This window comes from Homo sapiens, chromosome X (genome assembly GCF_000001405.40).
Source record: "Homo sapiens chromosome X, GRCh38.p14 Primary Assembly".
NCBI classification, from domain to species: domain Eukaryota; kingdom Metazoa; phylum Chordata; class Mammalia; order Primates; family Hominidae; genus Homo; species Homo sapiens.
Window position 1 is genome coordinate 107,651,043 of NC_000023.11, and position 26,127 is coordinate 107,677,169.

Genomic DNA, 26,127 nt, shown 5'->3' on the forward strand with positions numbered 1-26,127 from the left:
TACATAATCTGTACTGATCTCTCTGCTAAAGGTTTGGTTTAGATAGATGTCTTGCTGTCCATTGATAGCTCTTATTTGTTTCCAAACTACGTTAGCTTCATTGTTAAACCAAGAGAAGACATTGGCAGCAGTTTTATTCAACTGTAAGACTAAGATGTCTGGAGTTTACTGAGAATGTGATAAGAGTGTAATTCTGTGCAGTATACCTAAATTATAGCATGTATAATGTCTGGTGGATCTCTGGTTCTTACTCCTGAAGATCCAAATTAGGTATTTTCTTATGGGAGGAGAATTTCTGTGATTTATTCATTTTGAACTAATTTTGCCAAATGTGATAATTTCCTTCCATTCATCAGTAATTGACATACGTTTGGCATTTACTTTCTTTGTTTTTTTTGATTTTTTGGTTTTTTTTTGAGATGGAGTTTCGCTCTTGTTGCCCAGGCTGGAGTGCAATGGTGCAATCTTGGCTCACTGCAACCTCCGCCTCCCGGGTTCAAGCAATTCTCCTGCTCAGCCTCCTGAGTAGCTAGAATTTATAGGCATGTGCCACCATGCCCAGCTAATTTTATATTTTTAGTAGAGACAGGGTTTCACCATGTTGGTCAGGCTGGTCTTGAACTCCTGACCTCAGGTGATCTGCCCGCCTCAGCCTCCCAAAGTGCTGGGATTACAGGTGTGAGCCACTGGTGCCCGGCTGGGCATTTACTTTCATCCCTGCTAAATAAGAACTATTTTGAGAAGGTAAATGTGCAAAATTTAAGGATGAATTATTATGCATTCCAAAATTTTAAGTTTCCTTCTTTCTTTCCTTTTTTTTCTCTTTCTTTCTTTCCCTTTAGCTCTCTCTTTCTTCATTTCTTTCTTTTCTTTCCTTCCTTCTCTTTCTCTCTCTGTCTGTCTGTCTGTCTTTCTTTCTGTCTTTCATCTTTCTCTTGCTCTGTCACCCAGGCTGGAGTGCAGTGGCTCGATCTTGGCTCACTGCAACCTCCACCTCCTGGATTCAAGTGATTCTCCTGCCTCAGCCTCGAGAGGGATTACAGGTTATCTGGGATTACAGGTGTGCACCATCACACCTAGCTAATTTTTGTATTTTTAGTAGAGACAGGGTTTTGCCATGTTGCTCAGTCTGGTCTCAAACTCCTGGCCTCAAGTGATCCGCCCACCTTGGCCTCACAGAGTGCTCGGATTACAGGCATGAGCCACCATGGCGGCCTTAAGTGAGTGAGTTTCTTGGCCCATCATCAAATAAGGGTGCTCTTTTACTTTGGGAAGCTACATGGCTACAGAGCTTCATGAAGAGTGCTTCCTTATTTGTGAAGCCCAGGTCTACTTTTGTTTATTTTGTTTTTGCTTTTGTTGGATATCGGGATATCTATTTTACAGCTAGCTCTTTGATAAAAGTGATTCAGGAGGGACTAAAGTATACTATGAAATGTGCGCCTCTAACCCTCTAGACCTCTTTAATCTCAGATTTTTGCTCTGGGAGAAGCTGATGTGAAGCACCAATGCCTTCACTTGCTCATCATGCTATTTCCTAAAGTATTGGATCAGTGGGTCAGGTCTCATTGTTACAGAATATTTTGACATTAAGATCTCTCTTGTGGGCCCCTTTGGGTAATTCATTTCCTAGGATGAGGTTTTGAGATTATTCAAAAAAGGCCCAGTCCCCAACTTTGATCCCTTTCAAAGCAGTTGTTTTTTGTTTTTGTTGTTTTTGTTTTTTGAGACAGAGCATCGCTCTGTTGCTCAGGCTGGAGTGCAGTGGCACGATCTCGGCTTACTGCAACCTCCGCCTCCCGGATTCATGTGATTTTCCTGCCTCAGCCTCCCAAGTAGCTGGCTAATTTTTGTATTTTTAGTAGAGATGGTGTTTTACCATGTTGTCCAGGCTGGTCTCGGACTCTCGACCTCAGGTGATCCACCCGCCTCAGCCTCCCAAAGTGCTGGGATTACAGGCATGAGCCACGGTGCCTAGCCTCAAAGCAGTTCTTGACTGTGGGGAATAGTAGCAGGAGCAGACCTGCCAGGGCATGAGGAGGAGGCAGCACCAAAGCTAAGTGGAGTTGCAGCGAGCACAGTTGACAAGAAACTCTAGTTGTGATAGCTACATGATTGCCCTTGAACACCTGTCTGAAGAATGGAGGTACAGACTAAAGCAGGGGTAGGAGGCTGGCTCTGTTTCCTGACCTAATGTAATGGCTGCTTTTCACACACAGAATGTGTTTACTCAACATCTCTATGAGTGGTGGTCCCCAGGGCAGTAATGCAAAGCTTCCTCCCCTCAGCCTCACTTCAAGTTTTTTGTAAGGTAGGTGCCTCCAATAACCAGATTCCCTTTAAGAGGCCTCTTTGTTCTCCCCCACAACTGAGAACTAGTAAGGATGAGATGGCAGGAGGGCATGGCAATAGGAAAATGATGCTTTTCTGGGATTTCAGGCTTTTTATGATTTTAATGCCTTCAGGTTGTTAAGGGCTACATGCGATTAGTATACAAGTTAACACTTTCAGCAGAAAACACTTGGTATCCAAATCTGGAAAGAAGACCAGGACTAGCAGCCCCAACTTAGATGAAAAAAATCTTTTATAGAGGCACCAACTTACAGAGTTGCTGAGCTTCTTCTCTGGTCCTGAGAATGCAGGGAGGTGAGGGGGTATGACATAGAATGGATGCTGCTGTTTGAAACAAGTGGCTTCTGTCTTGGCAGTGGTGGTTTAAAAAGCAAGAGTGCTACAGCCAGAGATTCCCCCTCTGCTTTGCCTCCACTGTGTTTGGAGACTTGTTTTTCTCTTGCAGATTTTTTTTTTTTTTTTTTTTTTTTTACCACTCTGAGACTCCTTGTTTAAGAATAAAGCAAATTGTGCTCCAAATTATGGCAGATAAAGCTTGATACTCTGTAAAATCTTGGCTCGAGCATTTCTTTTTGTGTTTATAACATTTACTTGACTCTTTACAACTCTTCAACTGCTATTTGTTGCTATAAAGTTTTAAAGTTTGGGTTTAAGACAGAGTCTCACTTTAGCCCAGGCTGGAGTGCAGTGGTGCAACCTCGGCTCGCTGCAACCTCCGCCTCCCAGGTTCAAGTGATTCTCGTGCCTCAGCCTTCTAAGAAGCTGGGATTACAGGTGCCCGCCGCCACACCTGGCTAATTTTTGTATTTTTAGTAGAGATGGGGATTCACCATGTTGGTCAGGCTCGTCTTGAACTCCTGACCTCAAGTGATCCACCTGCCTCAGCCTCCCAAAGTGCTGGGATTACAGGCGTGAGCCACCGTGCCCGTCCTATAAAGTTATTTTTTAAAATAAGTGTTCAGTTCTAGGAGCCAGGAAATAAATAAATAAAATAGTGTGTGGGTGCGGTGGCTCACACCTGTAATCCCAGCACTTTGGGAGGCTGAGGCAGGAATGAGCCTGAGACTCAGAAACCTGCCCATGTGGGTGTGGCTCCTCCTTCCCTAGTCCTCACTGCTCATGGGCTACTGTATGCCCACTCCTTGGTCTACTGTCCCCCCACCCCGTGCCCTAAGGAAAACCAGAGACTCTCCACTGACAGTCAGACTTCTCTCCCCATCCTTCCCCTTTCCTGAGCTTTTCTTCCCCAATATATTCATTCCTCCAATAGCTCAGCTGCCAACTATAAAAAATAAGGGGAAGCTCATTTTGAAGCAAAAATAGCTGAAACTGTACAGGGTGACAATAGGCCTTATTCCCTCAGCCCCATTGTGTTTTTTGTTGTTGTTTTCTGACTGGCTCAAGATTTTATCTTCTTAGCCAAGTCCCCACCCCTCCCCCCTCTGGCGTGTCCACTAACTGCTGCGGCTGGGTTCTTGTTGCTTCACCCATAGAGTTGCCATGAGCTCACTCATGGTGTGGCTCTGATTCAGGGTTTGAATATAAAACAAAACAGGCCAGCCAGGTCTGACCAATCCATTCCTCCTGGGTAATATGCTGAGCAGAGATTTTCCCGCTTGTAAGCAGCCTGGAGCCACACAGCCCAATTTTAGTCATCGCCCTCAAAGTTCTTGGGGTAGAGCCTCTAATGATAACAATGGGCGGGGACTTTGTGGTGTGGGAGGGGCTGCAGTGAGGCAGAGAAGGAGCACGGTGACGGGCGGGCTTCCCTGGCTAAAGCCTCATCCCAGCTTTCCCTAGGACTGGCTGCACAGCTGCCTCCTGGCTGAGGACACCCCCTCCCCCTCCACGCGCACACACTCGCTTCCTTTCCTGCCGCCGCCACCTGGTTCACAGGGCCTGTCACTGCTGTCCATCTGCCACTAGGGGGCGCCTAGCAGAGAGGATGGAGGGAAGGGGCACCCAGGGCAACAGGACTGGGGGCTCCAGCAGTGGAAGGAGTGGCAGCAGTGGAAGGAGTGGCACCTGTCGGTCCTCCTGGCCCCCTCTTCCCCTGTATGTCCTCCGCAACCACGGGACAACACCGTGCCCAGTCCACACTCATTCAGCAGACAGGAATGTGTGCACGCCCTAAGGGCATAGCTCAGTGCATTTTCACACACCAAGCACTGTGCTAGACGCTAGGAATGCAGAAGCGGCCTAACGTGGTCCTTGACGCTGAGATGCACTTGATGTAGAGGAAGAAACAGATAGGGAAATGGGTAATTACAATGTGGTGTGATAAGTACTATGATGAGGGAAGAACAAAATGCTATGGGAGTGTGGGGGTTGCGGGGGGGCACCCAAGCCAGCCTTGGGAGTCAGGAAAGACTTCCTGGAGAAAAATACTTTGACTTTTGAAGTAGTTGACTGGAAGTTGGCCAAAGAGCGAGTGAAGAGAAGGGTGTTTCAGGCAGGCAGAATAGCACGTTTACCTGGACACCCCAAAGGAAGTGGCGTGTGTGTGTGTGTGGGTGTGTGTGTGTGTGGGGGGGGGGTGTGTGTGTGTGTATTTTCGGGTAGGATGAAGAGCTGTGATGAGGGGTGGGCTGGTGAGACTAGATCATAAGGGACTGTATAAGGAGAGTGTACATATGTCTATTGTCCCTGCATACTTATTACCAGCAACCCCCTTCACTCTCAAAAGGGTCCTGATTTTGGTAGTAAATTATACAGGAACCCTAATTGTAAGACACACTAGGGAGTTTGAATTTTATCCTAGGAGTGAAGAGGAGCCATTGAGCATTTTAAACAGGGCATCAACAGGATGAGATTTTGATTTTAAAATAGACTGGCAGTAATGTGAAGAATGGGTTGGGAAGGGGCAAATGTAGAGGAAGGAGTTTGGTTAGGAAGCTGTGCGTTGCCCAAGTGGGAGAGGAAGGTGGCTGAGGTGAGAAAAGTGCTGGTGGGACAGAAGAACAATTTACAATATATTTTGGAGGAAAATTCAACAGAAGTTGGTGATATTTCAATGTAGGGATTGGAAGAGAGGGAGGAGTCAAGGACAACTTACATTTTTCTGGCCTGAGTGACTGATGGATGCTGGTACTGAGCAGCACAGGAGATGAGGCTGAAGTTTAGGAACTGCTAAGTTTAAGGTGCCTGAGGGACCTCACCAGGAGGACTGAACAGGCAGCCATTGTAGCTAGTAGAGGTTTTGATCATCAATACATTTTTGCCCAAATGCCATCTTCAGATAGTCAAGAAGCTGAAGCAACGGGGCTGTAAACTAGGCCAGCCTTAAATATCCTGGGTGTTTGTCTTAAGAGGACAAGGACACAGTGGGAGAGGTTATGGAATGGAAGGAAAGCTAGGGAACAGTGAAGAAATTAAGTGTATTAAATGCAGAAGATATAAATTTGGGTTATGAGATATCTAAAGGAGAAAAATAGAAGCCAACAAAGAAGGCTCTAGTGCCTGTAATCCCAGCTACTTGGGAGGCTAAGATGGAAGGATTGCTTGAGCCCAGGAGTTCAAATCTAGCCTGGGCAACACAATGAGACCATGTCTCCTTCTTTAAAAAAAGACTCTAAACTTTAGAGTCTAAAGGAAAAAAAAATGGGTCTTTTAACAATTATAGATATTTTACAACAGCATCACAGAAAATTTGGGAGATATGTGTAAGAAGCCTCACCCATAATCTGGTGATCTTCTTACTGCTAGGTGGTGGTCAAATCAACATTCCTCTATATCTTCTGACACCACCCCAGCAAGGAAGGGGAGGCTTGCCTTATTACAGCCTAGTAGGGGTGGAAGTCCAGCCTCTCCACGTGGTCTCCACAGACACCACTGGAGGCAGGATATTGTTACCATTCAGCGGGGAAGAAAGTCCCAGCTTCCTACTTGGACTTCTCTGACACCTACCCCAGCAGGGGCTGCAGGTGGGTGTCTCGTTACATGAAGTCCCTGCTCTCCACTCAGGCTTTGCTGGTGCGGGGCGGGACACAATTTTCCTTGTGGCGTGTAGCTACAATGGAGTGATCAGCATTTAAAACGTTCTTTCTAGGCTGCCCTTTTTCTGGTCCTTTGCTGAGAGAGAAGACTTTGTTTTGGTCTAAACCCATTGGCATTTCCATGTTGTCAGCTTCTTCAGCTCCAAGTCAGGGATATAGGAGGCAAAAAGCACACCCAAAAAAGAAAAAAAAGTGAAAACCCAAGGAACTCACCACAAGGAACTACTTTATCTTCCTAGAATGTTACATGCCTTTAAAAAAGCAGAAAGTGCACAATGCTTACATTTATAGCTAAGCTGGGTGCGGTGGCTCATGCCTATAATCCCAGCATTTTGGGAGGCTGAGGCGGGAGGATCGCTTGAGCCCAGGAGTTCAAGACCAGCTTGGACAACATAGTGAAACCCCATCTCTACAAAAAATCTTAAAAAATTAGCCAGGTGTGGTGACATGTGCCTATGGTCCCAGCTACTTAGGAGGCTGAGCTGGGAGGATTGCTTGAGCCCAGGAGGTTGAGGCTGCAGTGAGCTGAGATCATGATACTGCACTACAGCCTTGGTGACAGAGCAAGACCCTATCTCAAAAGAAAAAAAAATTATAGCTCAATGAATTTTCAGACACTGAACATACCTGTCATCCAGATAAAAAACCAGAAGTCCCCTCTTGTCCTCTTCCAGCCACTACTTTACTACACACAAGAGTAATCATTGCCTGGAGGCGTTTACCTGGCCTGCTTAGCAGTGGGCACTGACAGCTTGAGACCCACTCTGGCTCAAAGTTCTTTCCAGACTGTGTGTGTGCATATGGGTTCTTGCACATCTGTCTGACTTCCTCACCTAGGCACCTTAGGTTAGAAAGTTCTTCACAGACCTTGATTCAAATTTGAATTACATTAATTCCCAGAAGTGCAATGTAGTGGTTAAGAGTATGGGATTTGGAGTTGAACCTGATTTCAAATCCCAGCTCTATAACTTCTTGGCTGTATGATCTATAACAAGGTAATAACAGCACTGACCTCGGCATGATGTTGTGAGGTTTAGGAGAAACAACTCAGGCTGGGCATGGTGGCTCAGGCTTGTAATCCTAGCTCTTTGGGAGACCGAGGCAGGAGAATTGCTTGAGGCCAGGAGTTTGAGACCAGCTTGGGCAACATAGTAAGAGCCTGTCTCTACAAAATATATATTTTTAATTATCCAGGCAAGGTGGTGCACATGTTAGTTAGTCCCAGCTACTCAGGAGGCTAAGGTGGGAGGATTGCTTGAGCCTAGGAGCTCAAGGCCGCAGTGAGCCATGATCATGCCACTGCACTTCAGCCTGGGCAACGGAGTGAGACCCTGAGGAAGGAAGGAAGGAAGGAAGGAAGGGAAGGAAGGAAGGGAGAGAGGGAGGGAGGGAAAGGAAAGAGAAAGAAGGAAAGAGAAGGAAGAGAAAGGAAAGAGAGAAGGAAAGAGAAAGGAGAGAAGGAAGGAAAGAAGGAAGGAGAGAAGGAAAGAAGGAAAGAACGGAAGGAAGGAAGGAGAAAGGAAGGAGGGAGGGAGGGAAAAAAGGAGAAAGGAAGGAAGGAGAAAGAAAAGAAGGAAGTAGGAACAAAGAAAAGCAGAGAGAGAGAGATGAAGAGAGGGAGGAATTACGTGGTGAAGGATGAAGTGAACAGCGGTGCTTGGCATATAAGCCAGCCCTCAAACAAGGGTAAGTGTTACTATCCTTATTATTATTATTAAGGCTACTGTGAACACTAAATGATATAAATTATGTAAATTACCTGATAAGGTTCCTGGCACTCAGTAAGTGTTAGTTCCCTTCCTTCCTCCCTTCAGGGGAGGACTAGGGAGTAAGTACTTTTTGTAAGTTTGTTCTCCTGGGTTGAAGGGAGGGAAGGAAAAGCTCCAAGGAGGAGAGTGGCTGTACTGTGGGTGGTGTCCTTCTCAGTACTTCCTGGGAGTATGCGGTGTGACAGCTCCCACCACCTCTCTCTGCCTCCCTTTGTGCCCCTACTCAGGACTCCATCAGCAAAGGCCTGGATGGAGCAGAAAGCAATGATGATGGGAAAGCCAGCCCCTCTCTACGGGTTGAGGTTCACTTGGCCCCATAGTTTGAACACTATTCTACTTCCCTCTCAGTATGGTGGAGTAAGGGCCCTGGAGGGCTCTGGGCTAGCACAGGTGCACATCCTAGCTCGGCCTCTGTGAGCCCTTTCTTCCCTTTGGCAAATGCCACTGACTGCTATGCCCAGGCTGCCTCAGTGAAGTCCCGAGATGGCTCCCAGTACCCCAATTTGGGGGTTCCTGGGAGAGCTTGTCACCAAATGTCCAAATACAGTTTGACATAACCTTCATTTTCAAACTATGTCACATTTCTGTGAGGATACAGTATCTTGAAATTAAACAGATCTAGGGCATTACAGTTCCACAAAGTTTTGGGATCAGCTACTCTCATAATTGAATGTAATTTATGAACTCCTGATCCACCTTGTTCCTCTGCAGAGAAATTTGCTACAGCCTCTAGATTTATGAAATTGCCCTTCTCTCTGCAGACAGCAGAGGGCCTCATTAGCACAAACTCAATGTCACTGGCAAATATATGGGAAGGAAAGTTTGCCAAGGTTCTAGAAGCACAGCAAAACTTTGATTAACATAAATAGGCAAGAAAATTGGCCAGTCAGCTTAATTCCCTAAAAAAAACCCTGGATTTCCTGAGTTAATAGGGGTTGAGCAGAAGCTTCTTGCTGTTCCACCCTTTGTGGTCGAAAATTCATCCAAAATTCCCAAATCCTCTTTGCTCCCTCAGCTGGTAATAGGGATCCTGGATAGAGTTGCCAGATTTAGAAAATAAAAATACAGGCCAGACGCGGTGGCTCACGCCTGTAATCCCAACACTTTGGGAGGCTGAGGTGGGCGGATCAATTGAGGTCAGGAGTTTGAGACCAGCCTGGCCAACATGACGAAACCCCATCTCTATTAAAAATACAAAAATTAGCCAGGCATGGTGGCACATGCCTGTAATCCCAGCTACTCAGGAGGCTGAGCCGGGAGAATCACTTGAACTTGGGCAGCAGAAGTTGCAGTGAGCTGAGATCGCACGACTGCACTCCAGCCTGGGTGACAGAGCATGACTCCATCTCAAAAAAACAAAAATTAAAAAAAAGGCCGAGTGCAGTGGCTGACGCCTGTAATCCCAGCACTTTGGGAGGCTGAGGCAGGCAGATCACTTGAGGTCAGGAGTTCGAGACCAGCCTGGCCAACCAACATAGTGAAGCCCCGTCTCTACTAAGAATACAAAAATTAGCTGGGCATGGGCCTGGCGCGGTGGCTCACGCCTGTAATCCCAGCACTTTGGGAGGCCAAGGCGGGCAGATCACCTAACATCGGGAGTTTGAGACCAGCCTGACCAACGTGGAGAAACCCTGTCTCTACTAAAAATACAAAAAAGAAATTAGCCGGGCATGGTGGTGCATCCCTGTAATCCCAGCTACTTGGGAGGCTGAGGCAGGAGAATCGCTTGAACCTGGGAGGCAGAGGTTGCAGTGAGCCGAGATCACGCCATTGCACTCCAGCCTGGGCAACGAGCGAAACTCTGTCTCAAAAAAAAAAAATTAGCTGGGCATAGTGGCAGACACCTATAATCCCAGCTACTCAGGAGGCTGAGGCAGGAGAATCACTTGAACCTGGGAGGCAGAGGTTGCAGTGAGCTGAGATCACGCCACTGCACACCAGCCTGGGCAACAGAGTGAGACTCAGTCTCAAAAAAAAATTTTTTTTTTAAAGAAAATAAAAATATAGGATGTCAGATAACAGGTCTGGACATTATATATTGAACCATAAGACTCCGAAAGATGGAGAGAAGGCAGATCCAGTAGAGACCTCAGGACCTGAGGCAGTGAGTTCCCCGGGTTTTCTTTTTGCCTCACATATCCCAGACTGGGTTCTAGAGAGACTGGCTACCCAGAAACTCCAGTGGGTACACACAAAAAAAGCCCTAACAAAATCTGGCTCTCTCTAGGGAAAGGACCAGGCAAGAGGCAGCCTATCAAGACATAAAACCTTTAGACAATAACCAAACACCACAAAGCCAACTGGCCCCACCCCACCCATGTCAGCAAGGGCCAAGTGGGAAGCCAGGTTACAAGAAGGTATTTCCAATCTCCCACCAGGTTTCAGAAAAGGCCAGTACAGAGCTGGGATTTTCACTGCCACCAGATGGTCACAAAGCTATGCAACACTGGGGACATATACCAAAACGTTCTTTTTCTGAGATTCAAATTCACCTGTGCATCCTGGTTTTGATCGGGCTGCCCTGACTGTGGGTGAATCTTGATTTTCTGACTGAGGTCTGGCCACCATAAGATTGTCAGTCTGAACACCATTAGCCCAGACAAGGAGATGGGGGAAAAGTAAGTTGAAGAGGCTGAGCTGAGTGGGTAGTTCATGGGTAGTCCCTCCCATTGACAACTGCTTTCTTTAATTCCCCATAGCTGCTTGTTTTCTTCCTAATTGCTCATTTCTTTTAAATGCCAATTGCAGGAAGAAAACTAAACAGTGTAATTCATGTGTGTGCTCCAGGCAAACTGAGCTGATTGTCTACGAGGCACCTTATTGTGTGGATTAAATAAGATCATGTCAATGAAAGCCCCTTAGCATCCAGGAGTTGCTCAATAAATGTTACTTTCCTTCTTTCCTGAAACATCAAGGATAACTTTAGACATCCTCAGCCTGGCTGTGGCTCAGAGAGAAAATCCAGCTGACCTTCTGATCCCTGAATGCCATTATTATTTTAGTAACCAATGCTTTTATTGAAAAAATAAGCCATGGTTAACAAAAATCCAGGCAGTATAAAATTGTATACGATGAAAAGGAAGTCTCTCTCCTATCCCAGGGCACAGTCCTCCACTTCCTCTCCCTAGAGGCAACCACTGTTACCAATGTATTCTTCCAGAGGAGTTCCATGCATATGCATACCTATATATAACCCTCTCATTTCCCTCCAATGTGAACATACTAGACACACTGCTCTGTATCTTCACATGCTATTTTTAGCTCCTAATTGCCTGGCTGCGGTGGGATACAGGCAGTTGATCCTGAGGGTCCTTATGAAAAACAGCCCTTTGAAACTTGTTGCTACCGCTATTGAAAGGATGTTGTCAAGGATGTTGTTCATTGTATCCCACAGTATCGTCTCTGAGGACCCCCGGGAGGAATTCCTGTCTGATCTTAGTACTGAAAACACTTGCCCTTCTGAGCGATTCGTTTGTTTTTATCTCCTGGACATTGTGAATTGTATAACAACAAGGTTTCCCCTTCCCTGTTGGCTGCTAGAAAGCTTTAGTTAGAGCCAACTTTTTGGCCCACCCTTTGTGGGAGCAGAGGTTTTTATGGTATGTATCTGTAGCCTGATGCTTGGCCGTATTTTGTGTCCACCCTCCCCTGCTTTTCTATCTTTAATTTATGCTGCCTTGACATACCTTGTGTGCCCTGGCAAGCTACCTGAAATCACTTCTGAAAAAAGGCAAAGTTGGAGTAATTAAATAACTGCCTGGCTCAGCAGCTCACTACCTTCAGTCTCCACCCACCCTCTCTTAACCCCCATCGTATCCTCTCAGCGGCTTCCTGGTGCTCCCCGCTGGCCTGTCTGGCAACTACTCTCCCCTTCAACCTTTTGTCCTATCTGGCCCCTCATTGCTCTTGGGCCTTGCAGGTCCGCTACTGCTTGCAATGCCCCCACCCCCCACCCCCCGGCCCACATCCTCACCTCCATATGCATCATGTGTAGCCATCAGATGCTTGCTTTGATCATTCTAGGACTGAAAACTCAGGCCCTTGGCTACATATTAGGACTGTTCTCTGTCTTTCCAAGGTTCAGTAATGCATGCTGCTAGAGCAGAGCCATCATAAAAGAAGGCTACCTCTCTGGACCAACCTGGGCAAAACTCCAGGGGCCAGGCGTGATGGCTCACGCCTGTAATCCCTACACTTTGGGAGGCCAAGGCGGGTGGATCAACTTGAGGCCAAGAGTTGGAGACCAGCCTGGCCAACATGGTGAAACCCCATCTCTACTGAAAATACAAAAATTAGCCAGGCATGGTGGTGCACACCTGTAATCCCAACTACTCAGGAGGCTGAGGCAGGAGAATTGCTTGAACCTGGGAGGCAGAGTTTGCAGTGAGCTGAGATCACGCCACTGCACTCCAGCCTGGGTGAGAGTGAGACTCCGTCTCAAAAAAAAAAAACTCCTGTGGAGGCTGATGAGATGATGTATTGCATAGAGGAGATGAATTCTTTTGAAGGGAGCAGCATCCCAGGGCAGCTAACCTTGTTTCCAAGGTGAAGAGCTTAGAGTCTGAAGGGCCAGGAAGGCAGAGTGGTCGTGAAAAAAGCATGAAGGCCCTACAGAAAAATTAGGGCACGCAAGTTCTGTCTGTTCCCCCACCTGCCACTGAGTGGCTAGGCAACATCAAGCAAGTCCTGTCTGTTCCCTGGACCATGCTTTTTTTTTCTTTTTTGAGATGGAGTATAGCTCTGTCGCCCAGGCTGGAGTGCGATGGCACAATCTCAGCTCATTGCAACCTCCACCTCCCAGATTCAACCAGTTCTCCTCCCTCAGTCTCCCAAGTAGCTGGGATTACAGGCATGCGCCACCATGCCGGGCTAATTTTTGTATTTTTAGTAGAGACCGGGTTTCACCATGTTGCCCAGGCTGGTCTCGTACTCCTGGCCTCAAGTGATCCACTGGCCCCGGCCTCCCAAAGTGCTGAAATTACAGGCGTGACCCATCATGCCTGGCCTTTTTTTTTAAAAAACAAAACAAAACAAAACAAAAAAAACTAAAACTAAGAGGGTTGTCTCTATGTTGTCCAAGCTGCAGTGCAGTGGCTGTTCACAGTTGTGGTCATAGCACACTATAGCCTTAACCTCCTGGGCTCTAGCAATTCTCCCACCTCAGCCTCCAGAATATCTGGGACTACAGGTGTGAGCCATGGTGCCCCGCCTGCATTTCCTTTTGATGCCTCTGCAGCATTGTCCATTTCTCACTGCAGTTAGATCAAGTGACTCGTAATAAATGTCATTTTACTGTTTTCCTGATAGTCCTATCTGAGCTGAACGTGCTCAGCAGTTAATAGTGGCCTTTTTACATGGAGTTGCTATTTTTGGTTTTAAATATGTTTGATTCAGAAACCCTTGAAACAAAGTATAGAAACAATAACAGCTGATTCTAATGATTCATACTTACTGGGTCTATATGTACCAGTCCTGTTCAAAGCACTTATTTACTTATTTTGAGACCATTACAGTGCTGGGATTACAGGCGTGAGCCACCATGCCCGGCCTGTTCAAAGCACTTTAGATTGATTATCTCATTCTTCACAACATCCCAGTGAGGTTGGCACCATCATAATAAGCACTTTATGAAGTCACAACCCAGATTTAACAGATGTTCACTTTTTGTCATATTTACCCTAGATCTTTTTTTTTTTTTTTTTTTTTTGGAGACAGAGTCTCGCTGTGTCGCCCAGGCTGGAGTGCAATGGCGCGATCTCAGCTCACTGCAATCTCCGCCTCCCAGGTTCAAGCAATTCTCTGCCTCAGCCTCCCGGGTAGCTGGGATTACAGGCGCCCACCACCACGCGTGGCTAGTTTTTTGTTTTTGTTTTTTGTGTGTGTGTGTATTTTTAGTAGAGACGAGCTTTCATCATGTTGGCCAGGCTGGTCTTGACCTAGATCCTTTTTTAAAAAAAGAAGAAAGAAAACATTGCAAACACGATTAGCATTCTCCCCATCCATTCCCCTTTTACCCTCCCCATTGGCAACCATTATCCTCAAGTTGGTAGTTGGTGAGGGTCCTTCCTATGGTATGGTTTCATACCTTTACTACATAGTATATATCCATAAATATAATATTGATTTCTGAGATTTTTTTGGCATCCATTATTTCTGTTTTGTTTTTGTTTTTTGAGACAAGGTCTCACTCTGTCACTCAGGCTGGAGTGCAGTGATGTGATCTCAGCTCACTGCAACCTCCACCTCCTGGGTTCAAGCGATTCTTGTGCCTCAGCCTCCAGGGTAGCTGGGACTACAGGAGTGCACCACCACACCCAGCTAATTGTTGTATTTTTACTAAAGATAGTTTGGCTATGTTGACCAGGCTAGTCTCAAACCCCTGGCTTCAAATGATCCACCCGCTTTGGCCTCCCAAAGTGCTGGGGTTACAGGCGTGAGCCACCACTCCTGGCCCAATTTCTGAGGTTTTAAAAATTTTATACAAATGGTGTTATAATGCACATTTTTTTTTAAATACAGGGTCTGTCACCCAAGCTGGAGTACAATGGTGATGTTGGCAGCTTCGATCTCCTGGGCCCAAGTGATCCGCCCCCCTCAGCCTCCCAAGTAGCTGAGACTACAGGTGCATGCCACCATGCCCAGCTAATTTTTGTATTTTTTGTAGAGACAGGGTTTTGCCATGTTGCCTAAGCTGGTGTCCAGCTCCTGAGCTCAAGCAATCTGCCCACCTTGGCCTCCCAAAGTGCTGGGATTACAGGTGTGCAACCACTACACCTGGCCCTACATTTTCTTTTAAAACTTGAGTGATTAATTTTGTATCTTGATACAGTGATGACCTCATTCACACAATTGGATTCCAGATCATAAAGTGTCAATAATTAGGCCACATTCAGACTCATCTTCACCATAAAGCTCTTAATTCCCTCACAGCCTTGGGTCTCAAAAAGTCTTCCCACCTGCCTTTCATGGACCGGCTTTAAGTCTTTAGGATAGAATAAATCTAACTAGCTCCTATCAGGTCATCAGCCAGGAATTTCCTCAACTTTTAACTTGCTCCACCCAATTCTCTGTATTTTTTTTTTTTTTTTTTGAGATGAGGTCTCGCTCTGTCACCCAAGCTGAAGTGCAGTAGTATGATCACGGCTCACTGTTCATTGACCTCCCAGGCCCAAGCAATCCTCTCACCTCAGCCTCCCAAGTAGCTGGGACTACAGGCATGCACCACCACACCAGGCTAGATTTTTTATTTTTTATAGAGGTGGAGTTTCCCTATGTTTCCCAGGCTGGTCTGGAAGTCTTTGCCTCAAGCAGTCCTCCAGCCTTGGCCTCAAAAGTGCTGGGATTACAGGAATGAGCCACTGCACTTGGCTGTGTATCTTTATTCACCACCATAACTGTCTTCCTTCCAACTCATCAGATCCCAGAGCTTCAGTGATTACCTATTGAATGACTGACTTGCCAATCTGTATCTACAAAGGCCCTATTTTTCTCCTGTGCTTCAGGGCTGTATATCTATCTGCCTAACTGGACACTCTGTCTGGACGTCTTATAGGTATCTCAGATTCAACCTGCCTCAAACTGAACTTATTTCCACCCTCCTAAAACAAGACACAACTCTTAAAATAATTGTCTACACGCATGGCTTCAATGTTTTACTTCCCATTTACTTTTTTTTTTTTTTTTGCCTCCGCCTCTTGTGTAGCTGGACCCAGGCATGAGCCACCACACCTGGCTAATTTTTATTTTATTTTTTTTTGTAGAGACTAGGGGTCTCGCTATATTGCCCAGGTTGGTTTTGAACTCCTGGCCTCAAGTGATCCTCTCACCTTGGCCTCCCAAAGCACCAGGATTATAGACATGAGCCACCACACCTGGCCACTCTTCTTTTTTAATCTGTTCATTTTCAACCCATTCCAATCTAGCTTCCATCCCTATCACTTCACAAAAGCTGTTCTTGTCAAGGTCCCTGATTTCCTCCAGTTTACCAATCCCAATGGTCAATTGTCTATCACTATGCTTCTTAGCACCATTTGTTCCACTGATCACTCAGTCCTTCTTGAAACTCTTTTCTCACTGGGCTTTTGGAACTCCTTCACACTTTCCTGGATTTCCTACCTCACTGGCTGCTGTTCCTCACTCTCCTTTGCCAAGCCCTTCTAATCATTCAGCTCTCTAAACATTGCAATGTCCCAGGACTTAGTCCCCAGATTCCCTCTTCTTCTCTACCTGCACTCAGTCCTCAGGCAACCTCATTCAGTTTCATTGATGATGAATCCCGATTCCCAGCACCACTCCACACCTCTTCTCTCAACTCCAGACTCATACAGCCAACCACTTACATGACATTTCCACTTGGATGTCTCACTGATATCCCAAAAAAATCTAGCCAAAACTGAACTCAAGTTTTGCCCAAATCAGACTTCCCCACCTTAGGAAATGACACTCAACAAGTGGCCTTAAGCAGTAAACCTAGAAGTCATCCTTGACATCTTCTCCTTACCTCCTGCACCCCAATCCATCACTGCATCCTGCCAATTCTACTTCAACATAGGCTTATTCCCATCACTTCTCACCACTTCCATAGCTTTCACCCCAGTCTAAGCCACCTCATTTTCTTTCCTGGACTTCTCATTGGTTTCTGCCTTCAATCATGCCCTCTTATAATTCATTCTCCATATAACAGTCAGATACATATTTAAGTCAAATATATCAACTCCCCTACTCCAAATTCTTTAACATATGCCCATTGTCCACAATATAAATTTTTAAAACGTGTGTGGGTGGTGATTTTTTGAAACAATAGGACGTTTTAAAAAGTTTAAAAAGGCTGGGTTCAGGCCAGGCATGGTGGCTCATGCCTGTAATCCCAGCACTTTGGGAGGCTGAGGCGGGCAGATCACGAGGTCAGGAGATCAAGACCATCCTGGCTAACACAGTGAAACCCCGTCTCTACTAAAAACACAAAAAAATTGGCCGGGCGTCGTGGCAGGCACCTGTGTTCCCAGCTACTTGGGAGGCTGAGGCAAGAGAATGGCGTGAACCCAGGAGGTGGTGTTTGCAGTAAGCAGAGATCGCGCCACTGCACTCCAGCCTGGGCGACAGAGCGAGACTCCGTCTTGAAAAAAAATAAAAATAAATAAATAAATAAATAAATAAATAAATAAATAAAAAGGATGGGTTCAGTGGCTCATGCCTGTAATCCCAGCACTTTTGGAGGCTGAGGCAGGAGGGTTGCTTTGAGAGCAGCGTGGGAAACATAGGGAGATTCCACCTGTAAAAAATTTTTTTTAAAAAGTAGCCGGGCATGGTGGTACATGCCTATAGTCCCAGCTACTCATGAGGCTGAGGTGGGAGGATTGCTTGGGTTCAGGAGGTCAAGGCTGCAGTGAGCCGTGATGGTGCCACTGCACTCCAGCTTGGGTGACAGAGCGAGATCTTGTCTCAAAAAAAGTTTTTGTTTTTGTTTTTTTTTTAAAAAAAAACCCTTTTGACATAGGTAAAAGTGGAGCTATTCTATTAGGCTGGTGCAAAAGTAATTGTGGTTTTTTTGGAGTGGAGTGTTGATCCTACAGCCCCATCTGCCCACTGTCCTCCTCCCTCCTGCCTCCACTCTCACCACCAGCAGCTACTGGGGTAGTTCCACAGAGGCAGCTCTGTGGAACTTTAGTGCTCTGGGAAGCTCAGCTGGAAAATCTGCAGGATAAAGTCCAAACTGTCACACAACAAAGAAAACAATAAGAACAATAGAAAAAGACTTCCCCAGCCAGGCATGGTGGCTCATGCCTGTAACCCCAGCACTTAGGGAGGCCAAAGCAGGCAGATCACTTCAGGTCAGGAGTTCGAGACAAGCCTGGCCAACATGGCGAAACCCCATCTCTACTAAAAATACAAAAATTAGACGGGCGTGGTGGCACGTGCCTGTAATCCCAGCTACTCAGGAGGCTGAAGCAGGAGACTTGCTTGAACCTGGGAAGTGGAGGTTGCAGTGAACTGAGATTGCGCCACTGCACTCCAGCCTGGGCTACAGAGACTCTGCCTCCAAAAAAAAAAAAAAAAAGAAAGAAAGAAAGAAAGAAAGAAAAAGAAAAAAGAAAAAAGAAATAAAAAGAAAAAGACTTCCCCATGCTCTGGGTCCTGCCTCCCTGGCCTTCTTGCATCATGTTACCCCTGCCTTGCTCCTTATGCTTTAGCTACAGCCAATCCTTGGCATCTCCCTCAGCACCCTAGAAGTTTTGACCCTCAGCACACAAGCTTCCTGTTCCCTGGGGGCGTGCCCTATCCTCTCTGCCAGGTGTTGGTCTGACAAACTACTCTTTCAAGAGTCAAGACAAAAGTCAGCTCAGAACTGTCTCTGGGAAGTAGTATTCCCTGACTCCTCTTGGAAGAATTGGTGGCGTGGTGGTGGGAGGTGGCTGCTCCTCCTCCTTCCTCCTTCCTCCTCCCCCATCCCCCTTCCCCCTCCTCCTCCTCCTTTTTTTTTGAGATGGCGTTTCGCTCTTGTCACCCAGGCTGGAGTGCAATGGCGCGATCTCTGCTCACTGCAACCTCCACCTCCCGGGTTCAAGTGATTCTCCTGCCTCAGCCTCCTGAGTAGCTGGGATTAAAGGTGCCAGCCACCACACCCAGCTAATTTTTGTATTTTAGTACAGATGGGATTTCACCATGTTGCCCAGGCTGGTCATGAACTCCTGACCTCAGGTGATCCACCCACCTTGGCCTCCTAAAGTGCTGGGATTACAGGCGTGAGCCACTGCGCCTGGCCAGTGGGAGGCTTTTTCAAACTCAGAGTGCTCAGAGAATTGCATTATTTTGGCCTGGGTGCCTCGAGGACAGCTATCTTATTTTGTTTATCTCTGTATGCCACAGTGCTTGGTTTGTAACAGGTGCCCAATCAACGTTTGGAGAATGGCCCAGTAGACTGAAGTGATGAACTTGACCCTATTAATAGACCCTATTAATATGGTACTTTAACCAACAGGACAAACTAGATATGGCTATCTTTACTGATAAGAAAGAAATACACTGAGCCTGGCTTCTTCTTTCCCACCCTGAAAGATATAAACAATGTATCCCTTCTGAACTTAGCAAGTTCCTGAAGGGAAAGACAGGCTTCTCAAAGCCAGCTGGTGTTGGCAGCCTTCTTGAACCATATTTGGCCTGAGTGGGAGCACAACAGGACCTCCAGGTAATGAGCACACGATCACTACAATGTGTGGAGCTGCAGAGTGAAGAAAACAAACATTGTATTCTTTATATTGTTTACACTAACTTCATAAAAGCATTTCACACAGGTGGAGGGGCAATGACCCAAGAAGACTATCAACAGGGAGAAGGGGGGTAGTGGGGAGGGAAGTCTGCAAATTCATCAGCAATCCTCCCTGAAAAACATGCTGAGGTGGCTCCCACTATCTACCTCATGTTTTTTGTCAAAGAAGCAGCAAGGGAAAGAGGACTTAACAAATAACAGCTGCCATTTATTTAGGCTATTAATTTTTTGAGACAAGGTCTTGCTCTGTCACCCAGGCTAGAGTGCAGTGGCGCGATCTGGGCTCACTGCAGCCTCCGCCTCCTGGGTTCAAGTGATTCTCCTGCCTCAGCCACCCGAGTAGCTGGGATTACAGGTGCGCAGCACCACGCCCGGCTAATTTTTGTATTTTTAGTAGAGACAGGGTTTCACCATGTTGGCCAGGCTGGTCTTGAACTCCTGACCTCAAGTGATCCACCTGCCTCGGCCTCCCAAAGTGCTGGGATTACAGGAATGAGCCACTGTGCCTGTGTCTGGCTATTTAGCCGTTACTATGTACCAGGTACTGCATTGATGGCTTTGTGTATATCAGTTAATTCCTAATAACCACTTGAGATAAATATTATTATTATCCCCATTTTACAGATGGAGACACAGGCATGGCAAGGTCAAGTAGCTTGCCTGGTGTTAGACAAGGCAGCATTCAAACCCTTGCAGTCTGGCTCCAGAGCCCCTGCCCTTAACTGCTGTACCACACTGTCTCCCAGTTTTTTGTTTGTTTGTTTTTTGAGATGGAGTCTTGCTCTGTCATCCAGGCTGGAGTGCAGTGGCATGATCTTGGCTCACTGCAGCCTCTGCCTCCCACGTTCCAGTGATTCTCCTGCCTCAGCCTCCCAGGTAGCTGTGATTATAGGCACACGCCACCACGCCCAGCTAATTTTTGTATATTTAGTAGAGATGGAGTTTCACCATGTTGGCCAGGCTGGTCTCAAACTCCTGACTTCAGGTGATCAGCTCGCCTCGGCCTCCCAAAGTGCTAGGATTACAGGCGTGAGCCACAGCGCCCGGCCCTGTCTCCCACTTTTAAAAGTCCATTGCGGCTGTGGTCCTGGCTCTTGGGGAGCTGACAAGAGGGCAACCAGAGACTGACATGGTCTTCAAGGGGAGGGAATGTGACCATAAGTACACTGGGTAGAAAAATAGAACAGGAAGCCCAGAGAGGCTCACCAGTCACCAGTCACCACTCAGTTGGTGCTGGGACTCATTGGTGACGGGGTCGGGGGGTAGGGTGGGGTGAAAGAAGGTGCTTTTCCAAGAGGTGCTGTTGTGTGCACAGAGACAAAGCAGAGCTGGGGCAGAAAGCTGGGAAGGCAACTTTCTTCTGAGGGGGGCCAGACCACTAGGCTGCCTCGGGAATGGGCAAACGGCCCCAACAGCCACTCCTAGGTATATACCCCAAAGAATTGAAAGCAGAGGCTCGGACAGATACTTGTACACCAATGTGTTTACAGCAGCATTCTTCACAATAGTCCAAAGGTAGAAACAACCCTTAAGTGTCTATCAATGGATGAATGGATAAACAAAATGTGGTATATCCATACAGTAGACAATTACTCAGCCTTAAAAGGAAAGAAACTCTGGCACATGCTACAACATGAAGATTATGCTAACTGAATAAGCCAGACACAAAAGGACAAATATTGCATGATTCTGCTTATATTAGGGACCTAGAATAGTCAAATTCATAAGAGACAGAACATAGAATGGTGATTACTAGGGGCTAGGGGGAGGGGAGAATGGGTATATTCTCTACCCTCACTCTGGGGGCGGGTTTGTGGGGGGGATTATTGTTTAATGGGTATGGAGTTTTGCAACATGAAAAGAGTTCTGGAGGTGGAGAGTGGTAATTGTTGCAGAATAATGTAAATGTACTTATTGTCACTGAATTATGCACTTAAAAATGATTCAAATGGCAAAAATTTTTAGGCTGGGCGCGGTGGCTCACGCCTGTTATCCCAGCACTTTGGGAGGCTGAGGGGGGCGGATCATGAGGTCAGGAGATCAAGACCATCCTGGCTAACACGGTGAAACCCCGTCTCTACTAAAAATACAAAAAAAAAAAAAAAATTAGCTGGGCGTGGTGGCGGGTGCCTGTAGTCCCAGCTAGTTGGGAGGCTGAGGCAGGAGAATGGCATGAACCTGGGAGGGGGAGCTTGCAGTGAGCTGAAGTCGTGCCACTGCACTCCAGCCTGGGCAACAGAGTGAGACTCTGTCTCAAAAAAAAAAAAAAAAAAAAAAAAAGCTAGGCATGGTGGCATGCGCCTGTAGTCCCAGCTGCTTGGGAGGCTGAGGCAGGCAGGAGAATCACTTGAACCCAGGAGGTGGAGGTTGCAGTGAGCCAAGATCGTGCCACTGCACTGCAGCCTGGTGACAGAAAGAGACTCCATCTCAAAAAAAAAAAAAAGAGATTCAAATGGTAAAAAATTTTAAAACACCACGAAAACAAAAACAAAACAGCCCGTGCAGCAGCCTGGTCCACTGAGCTTGCAGCCCAGACATTGGTGGTGGGTTTTGAGGTCTAAAAATAGGGCCTCCTATGGCAAAAATTGGTCACCTGGACAGGAACAGCAGTGAGAGCTTATTGCCTGAAGAGGGGGCAAGAGAGCTCTGGGACGGTGAGTTTCCTCACCTACCCCATCTCCCTTTCCCCCCTCCCTCCGTGTGTGCGTGCGTGCGTGCGTGCGTGTGTGTGTGTGTGTGTGGTGTGCACCTCACCACCCCACCCCACTCCAGAGCAGACAGACCGCCAGCCCAGCAGAAGCAACTGGGTGTGGCCTGACTCCCAGGGAGTCCTGGGGAATCCCTGCAACTGAGCAAATTTCGCTCCTGCCTCTTCCAGATTCTCCAGGGAGCTGTCCTCTCCTCTGAGGTCCAAGTTAGCTAGCCTATTCTCCAGTGAAAAAACTGATAGAAGGTATCCAGTTTTCAGGATTGTCTGGGGGGAAATGGAGGCAGTCCAGCAGAAAGATCATCGATTCAAGTGTAGCGGACTTGGGTTCAAATCCTGATTCTCCCACTTAGTAGAGTATGACCTTGGCCACAGTGTTTAACCTCTCTGTGCTTCAGTTTCCTTGGCTGTAAAACAGTACAGGGACCCATCTCAAAACTGTTGAGGATTAAATGAGATGTGCAAAGCACTTACAATAGTAAGTGTGAGATAAGCATCAGCTAGGATTACCTCATGAAGTGATTATTAAATGGTGAAAGGGTGGAAGCACCCAGTACCGTACAGGCCCTCAATCAGTGGTAGCTGATATAACGATGCTAATAATAACGATGAAGGTGCAGAGGCCCGAGAACCTAGCAGTCAGAGCAATGGCCAGAGGAATGTGGAGATGCCTAGTGCTGGCAGAGAAAGGAAAGCCCTGTTTCAGGGGCTCTAGGGAAGACAGTGGCAGCAAGTCCCTAGAGAGCACTGCTTGGCATCTCCTCTAGGTTGTTGCTCTGTGGCTCAGGCAGCCATTCAAATGCATGGGAAGGGAAGGAAAGAACCAGCAGTAGACATCCAGTGACACTGTTGGCCTTCCACCCATGGGAAACCTTCAGAGGAAGGGGAAGGGGCGGGGCCACCTTGGAGTCTCCAGGGACCAGCTGTACAGTAACAGCCTTTTTTTTATTATTATTTTTTATTTTCTCAATTCCTCCCCTCTTGGTGTCAAGCTTGTTTTTGTAGCTGGAGAGGAAAGGCATGGGCGGGGCTCGGCTGCACAGCACTTGGAACCACAAACCCGCCCCCAGAGTGAGGGTACAGAATGTACCCAGACTGCAAACCACACCCTTGTGGCTTGGGGAGGCCCCTGAGGTGGGCTGCGGAACTGTCACACTACATTGTTTGAGCCCTGCACCTAGCAACCAGCCTGGGAGCCTGCAGTGCTCAGACAACGGGGTGTACTCAGGGGCCAGGACTGAGTTAAAGGACCTTCTGCCAAATGGTCCCCCAGGACTAAGGATCCCTCTGATCGGAAAAAGAGGTCCATGGACCCCTGACACCCTCCTGGGACCAGATTAAGTCTGAAGCTGGCCTAGGAGAGGTTCCAGCCAAAGGCTACAGCCTGCAGACACTCCCAGTCACATCCAGATCCTCCTCCACCCCCAACCAATTTAGGGGAGCAGATTCTGCTTCCCTTTACCTGTCCTCCCCACCCCACTCCCTCTCAGGGAGGCCCCTCCTCCCAGGGAGGTTGCCCTCCCTCCCCCAGTCAGGGAGGCCTATGTAGGGTTTCCAGAGCAGTGAAGGGAGGAAACCAGATGGGACCTTTTGGGAGGGTGGAGACAGTTTTCCGAAGCCTGAAGTGACTTGAAAATGACAGAAGGTTGGGAGGGGGGCCAAACCCACAGCAGAGAGGGGAGGGACTTCCAGTTGGACGGGTTAGAGGAAGAAGGTCCTGTGAAACCCGGGTGAAATTCAGCAGGGATGAGTGCAAGGGGTTCGTTAGTGACAAAACCTAACAACATAATTTGGCTCGACACAAATAAACAAGGAAAACACCAAGTGAAGGAGGGAGTTGACCACAAGCTGAGTAAGATTCAGCGTCAAAATAGAGCACAGCTCACTTCTGTGGACCACATTTTCCAAAGCAAAGATCAGGACACATATTTGACAAGGATGAATGTACTTATGGGGAAACAAGCCCGAGTGTTTGAAGCTGAGACTCTCCCCAGCAAACATGGGTCCTAAGCTTGTTGAGACCATGCTCTGTGACAGTCTAGAGTCTTCATCAGACAGCCATGTCCATCATCTGGGGAAAAGGGAAAAGGCTCAGAATAGGAAGAAAGATGAAAGATGGGGCCTCGGGGCAGAGATTGGTGAAGTAGAGGCAGTGTAGTGAGGCGGAAAGAGTTCAGGCTTTGTCACTTAGTGGCTGTGCAACATCAGGAAAGTTACTTAACCTCTCTGAGCTCCAGTTTCTGCGTCTTTAAAACTTGGGTAATAATCTTTGCCCTAAAGGTTGTTGTGAAGATTTAAGTGATTCACAAAATATATAAAGCACTAAGCACATAGTAGGTCCTCAAGAAATGCTTGGCTGTCCATTTGGAGAAGGGAGAAATAAGATGAGAAGATTTTATAAGGAGGCTACTAAGCAGTAATTTTCCCACACTCATGGAAACTGGAACAAAAAGAAAGACTATGGCTGGAGTAGAAAGGATTTGGGTGGGTTTGGGAAGAACCTGGTGACTGTCAGAAGTTGCAAACTGGTGGCTAACAGACTGAATCCAGCCCTTGGGCAGGTTTTGTTTGGCCTGAACAGTGTTTTCCATAAATTTGAATTAGTTGCCAACCTTTTAAAAAGTGGAAGATTTCACATAAAAATCCACATATTGGCTTCTTTTGCAAAAAAGCAGAGAATCTAGCAACTCTGGACCCTCATGGCTGCATGGCAATGATTGTGGGAAGGGAGTAAGGGCCGTTTGTTTTAGAGGGTTTTTCATGCCAGTGCTTTGCAAACCGTAATGTGTGTAATTGCGACATCCAGACGGAGCAAATCCTTAGAGACAGAAAGTACAGCAGCGGTTGCCCATGGCTGTGGGGAGGGAAATGGGGACTGACTGCTAAAGGGTCTGGGGTTTCTTTTTGGAGTGATGAAAATGGAACCAGATAGAGGTGGTGGTTACACAACATTCTGAATATACTAACAACTTCTTAATTGTACACATTAAAAGGGTGAATTTTATGGCATGTGAATGATACTTTAATAGGGCTGTTATTTTTAAAATGCAAATGCTGATTCAGTAGATCCCAGCTGGGGCTCAAGATTCTGCATTTCTGACAAGCTCCCAGTTGTGGTTCATGCTGCCGGGCTTGGGACCAGCTCTGAGCAGCGAGCTCTTGCACTGCTGGTTTTCAGAGTCAGCTGCACATTGGAACCACCTGGGGAGTTTAGAAAAACACTCCTGCCTAGGTCTCACCCCCTGGGATTCTGATAACATTGGTGTAAGGTGAGACCCGGGTGTCCGGATTTGTAAAAGCTCCCCAGGTGATTATAATTTGCAGCCAATTTTGAGAACCACCCTCTTGTACCCTGGCCACTTTCCCCTTTCCCCTTACCTGCCTAGGCAGGCTCTCAGGCATTTGACCCCTGCTCTCCTCTAAACCCCAAAGCTTGGCTTCCAAGGCTGTGCCAGGGCGGCCAGCCCTGCCTGCCTCTCCACCTCCTCCCTGCCCACCCCTCATCCCACTGTAGTTCTGGGATTCTGAGGCCAAACCTTCATTGCCTCCCCCACTTTTTCCCGCCTCCCTAGTTAGCGGAGCTTGTTTTGTTTTCTTGGGCAGCTTTGAGTGAGGACATGTGTCAGAGGCGTTTGGAAAATCTAAAGAACTCACGTCCTTCCCTGGTGCCTCTTGTCCCCACTCCAGTCACCCGGAACTCACCAGGAGCCCCAGGCAGGGCGAAGCGTCCCGGTCCCGCCCTCGTCTGGCGGCCGCATGGAGGCCCACATGCCTTACGCTCCCCAAGCCGGGGCCGCGTGGGGCGACATGTGCTGCCGGTCACAGGGGAGGGTGGCCAGAGGCAAGTGATGCTGATCAGCATGGGCTTGGAAGCCGCCTAAGAACCAACCACAGCGACTTTTCCAGTGGGATGAGGAGGACGGGGAGGAGAAAAAAGTGGGCGGGGGCGGGGGAGGAGATCTTACACCAAGGCTTACTGGGTAATTTATTATTGCGTGAGAGCGTCTTAGAGCAGCAGCCCTGATCAACGTCCAGACA

General features: G+C 47.4%; 4 annotated features.

The window, feature by feature from the left end:
• Nucleotides 4,077-4,371: an enhancer, noted in NCBI's record as "tiled region #15331; K562 Activating DNase unmatched - State 1:Tss". NCBI's record gives its function as "activates a minimal TATA promoter and a strong SV40 promoter by Sharpr-MPRA in K562 cells {active_cell/tissue: K562}" and the evidence as "EXISTENCE:reporter gene assay evidence [ECO:0000049][PMID:27701403]".
• Nucleotides 22,096-22,145: a silencer, noted in NCBI's record as "silent region_20929". NCBI's record gives its function as "represses an Ori minimal core promoter by ATAC-STARR-seq in GM12878 lymphoblastoid cells {active_cell/tissue: GM12878}" and the evidence as "EXISTENCE:reporter gene assay evidence [ECO:0000049][PMID:35858748]".
• Nucleotides 22,900-23,099: an enhancer, noted in NCBI's record as "active region_29833". NCBI's record gives its function as "activates an Ori minimal core promoter by ATAC-STARR-seq in GM12878 lymphoblastoid cells {active_cell/tissue: GM12878}" and the evidence as "EXISTENCE:reporter gene assay evidence [ECO:0000049][PMID:35858748]".
• Nucleotides 25,313-25,372: a silencer, noted in NCBI's record as "silent region_20930". NCBI's record gives its function as "represses an Ori minimal core promoter by ATAC-STARR-seq in GM12878 lymphoblastoid cells {active_cell/tissue: GM12878}" and the evidence as "EXISTENCE:reporter gene assay evidence [ECO:0000049][PMID:35858748]".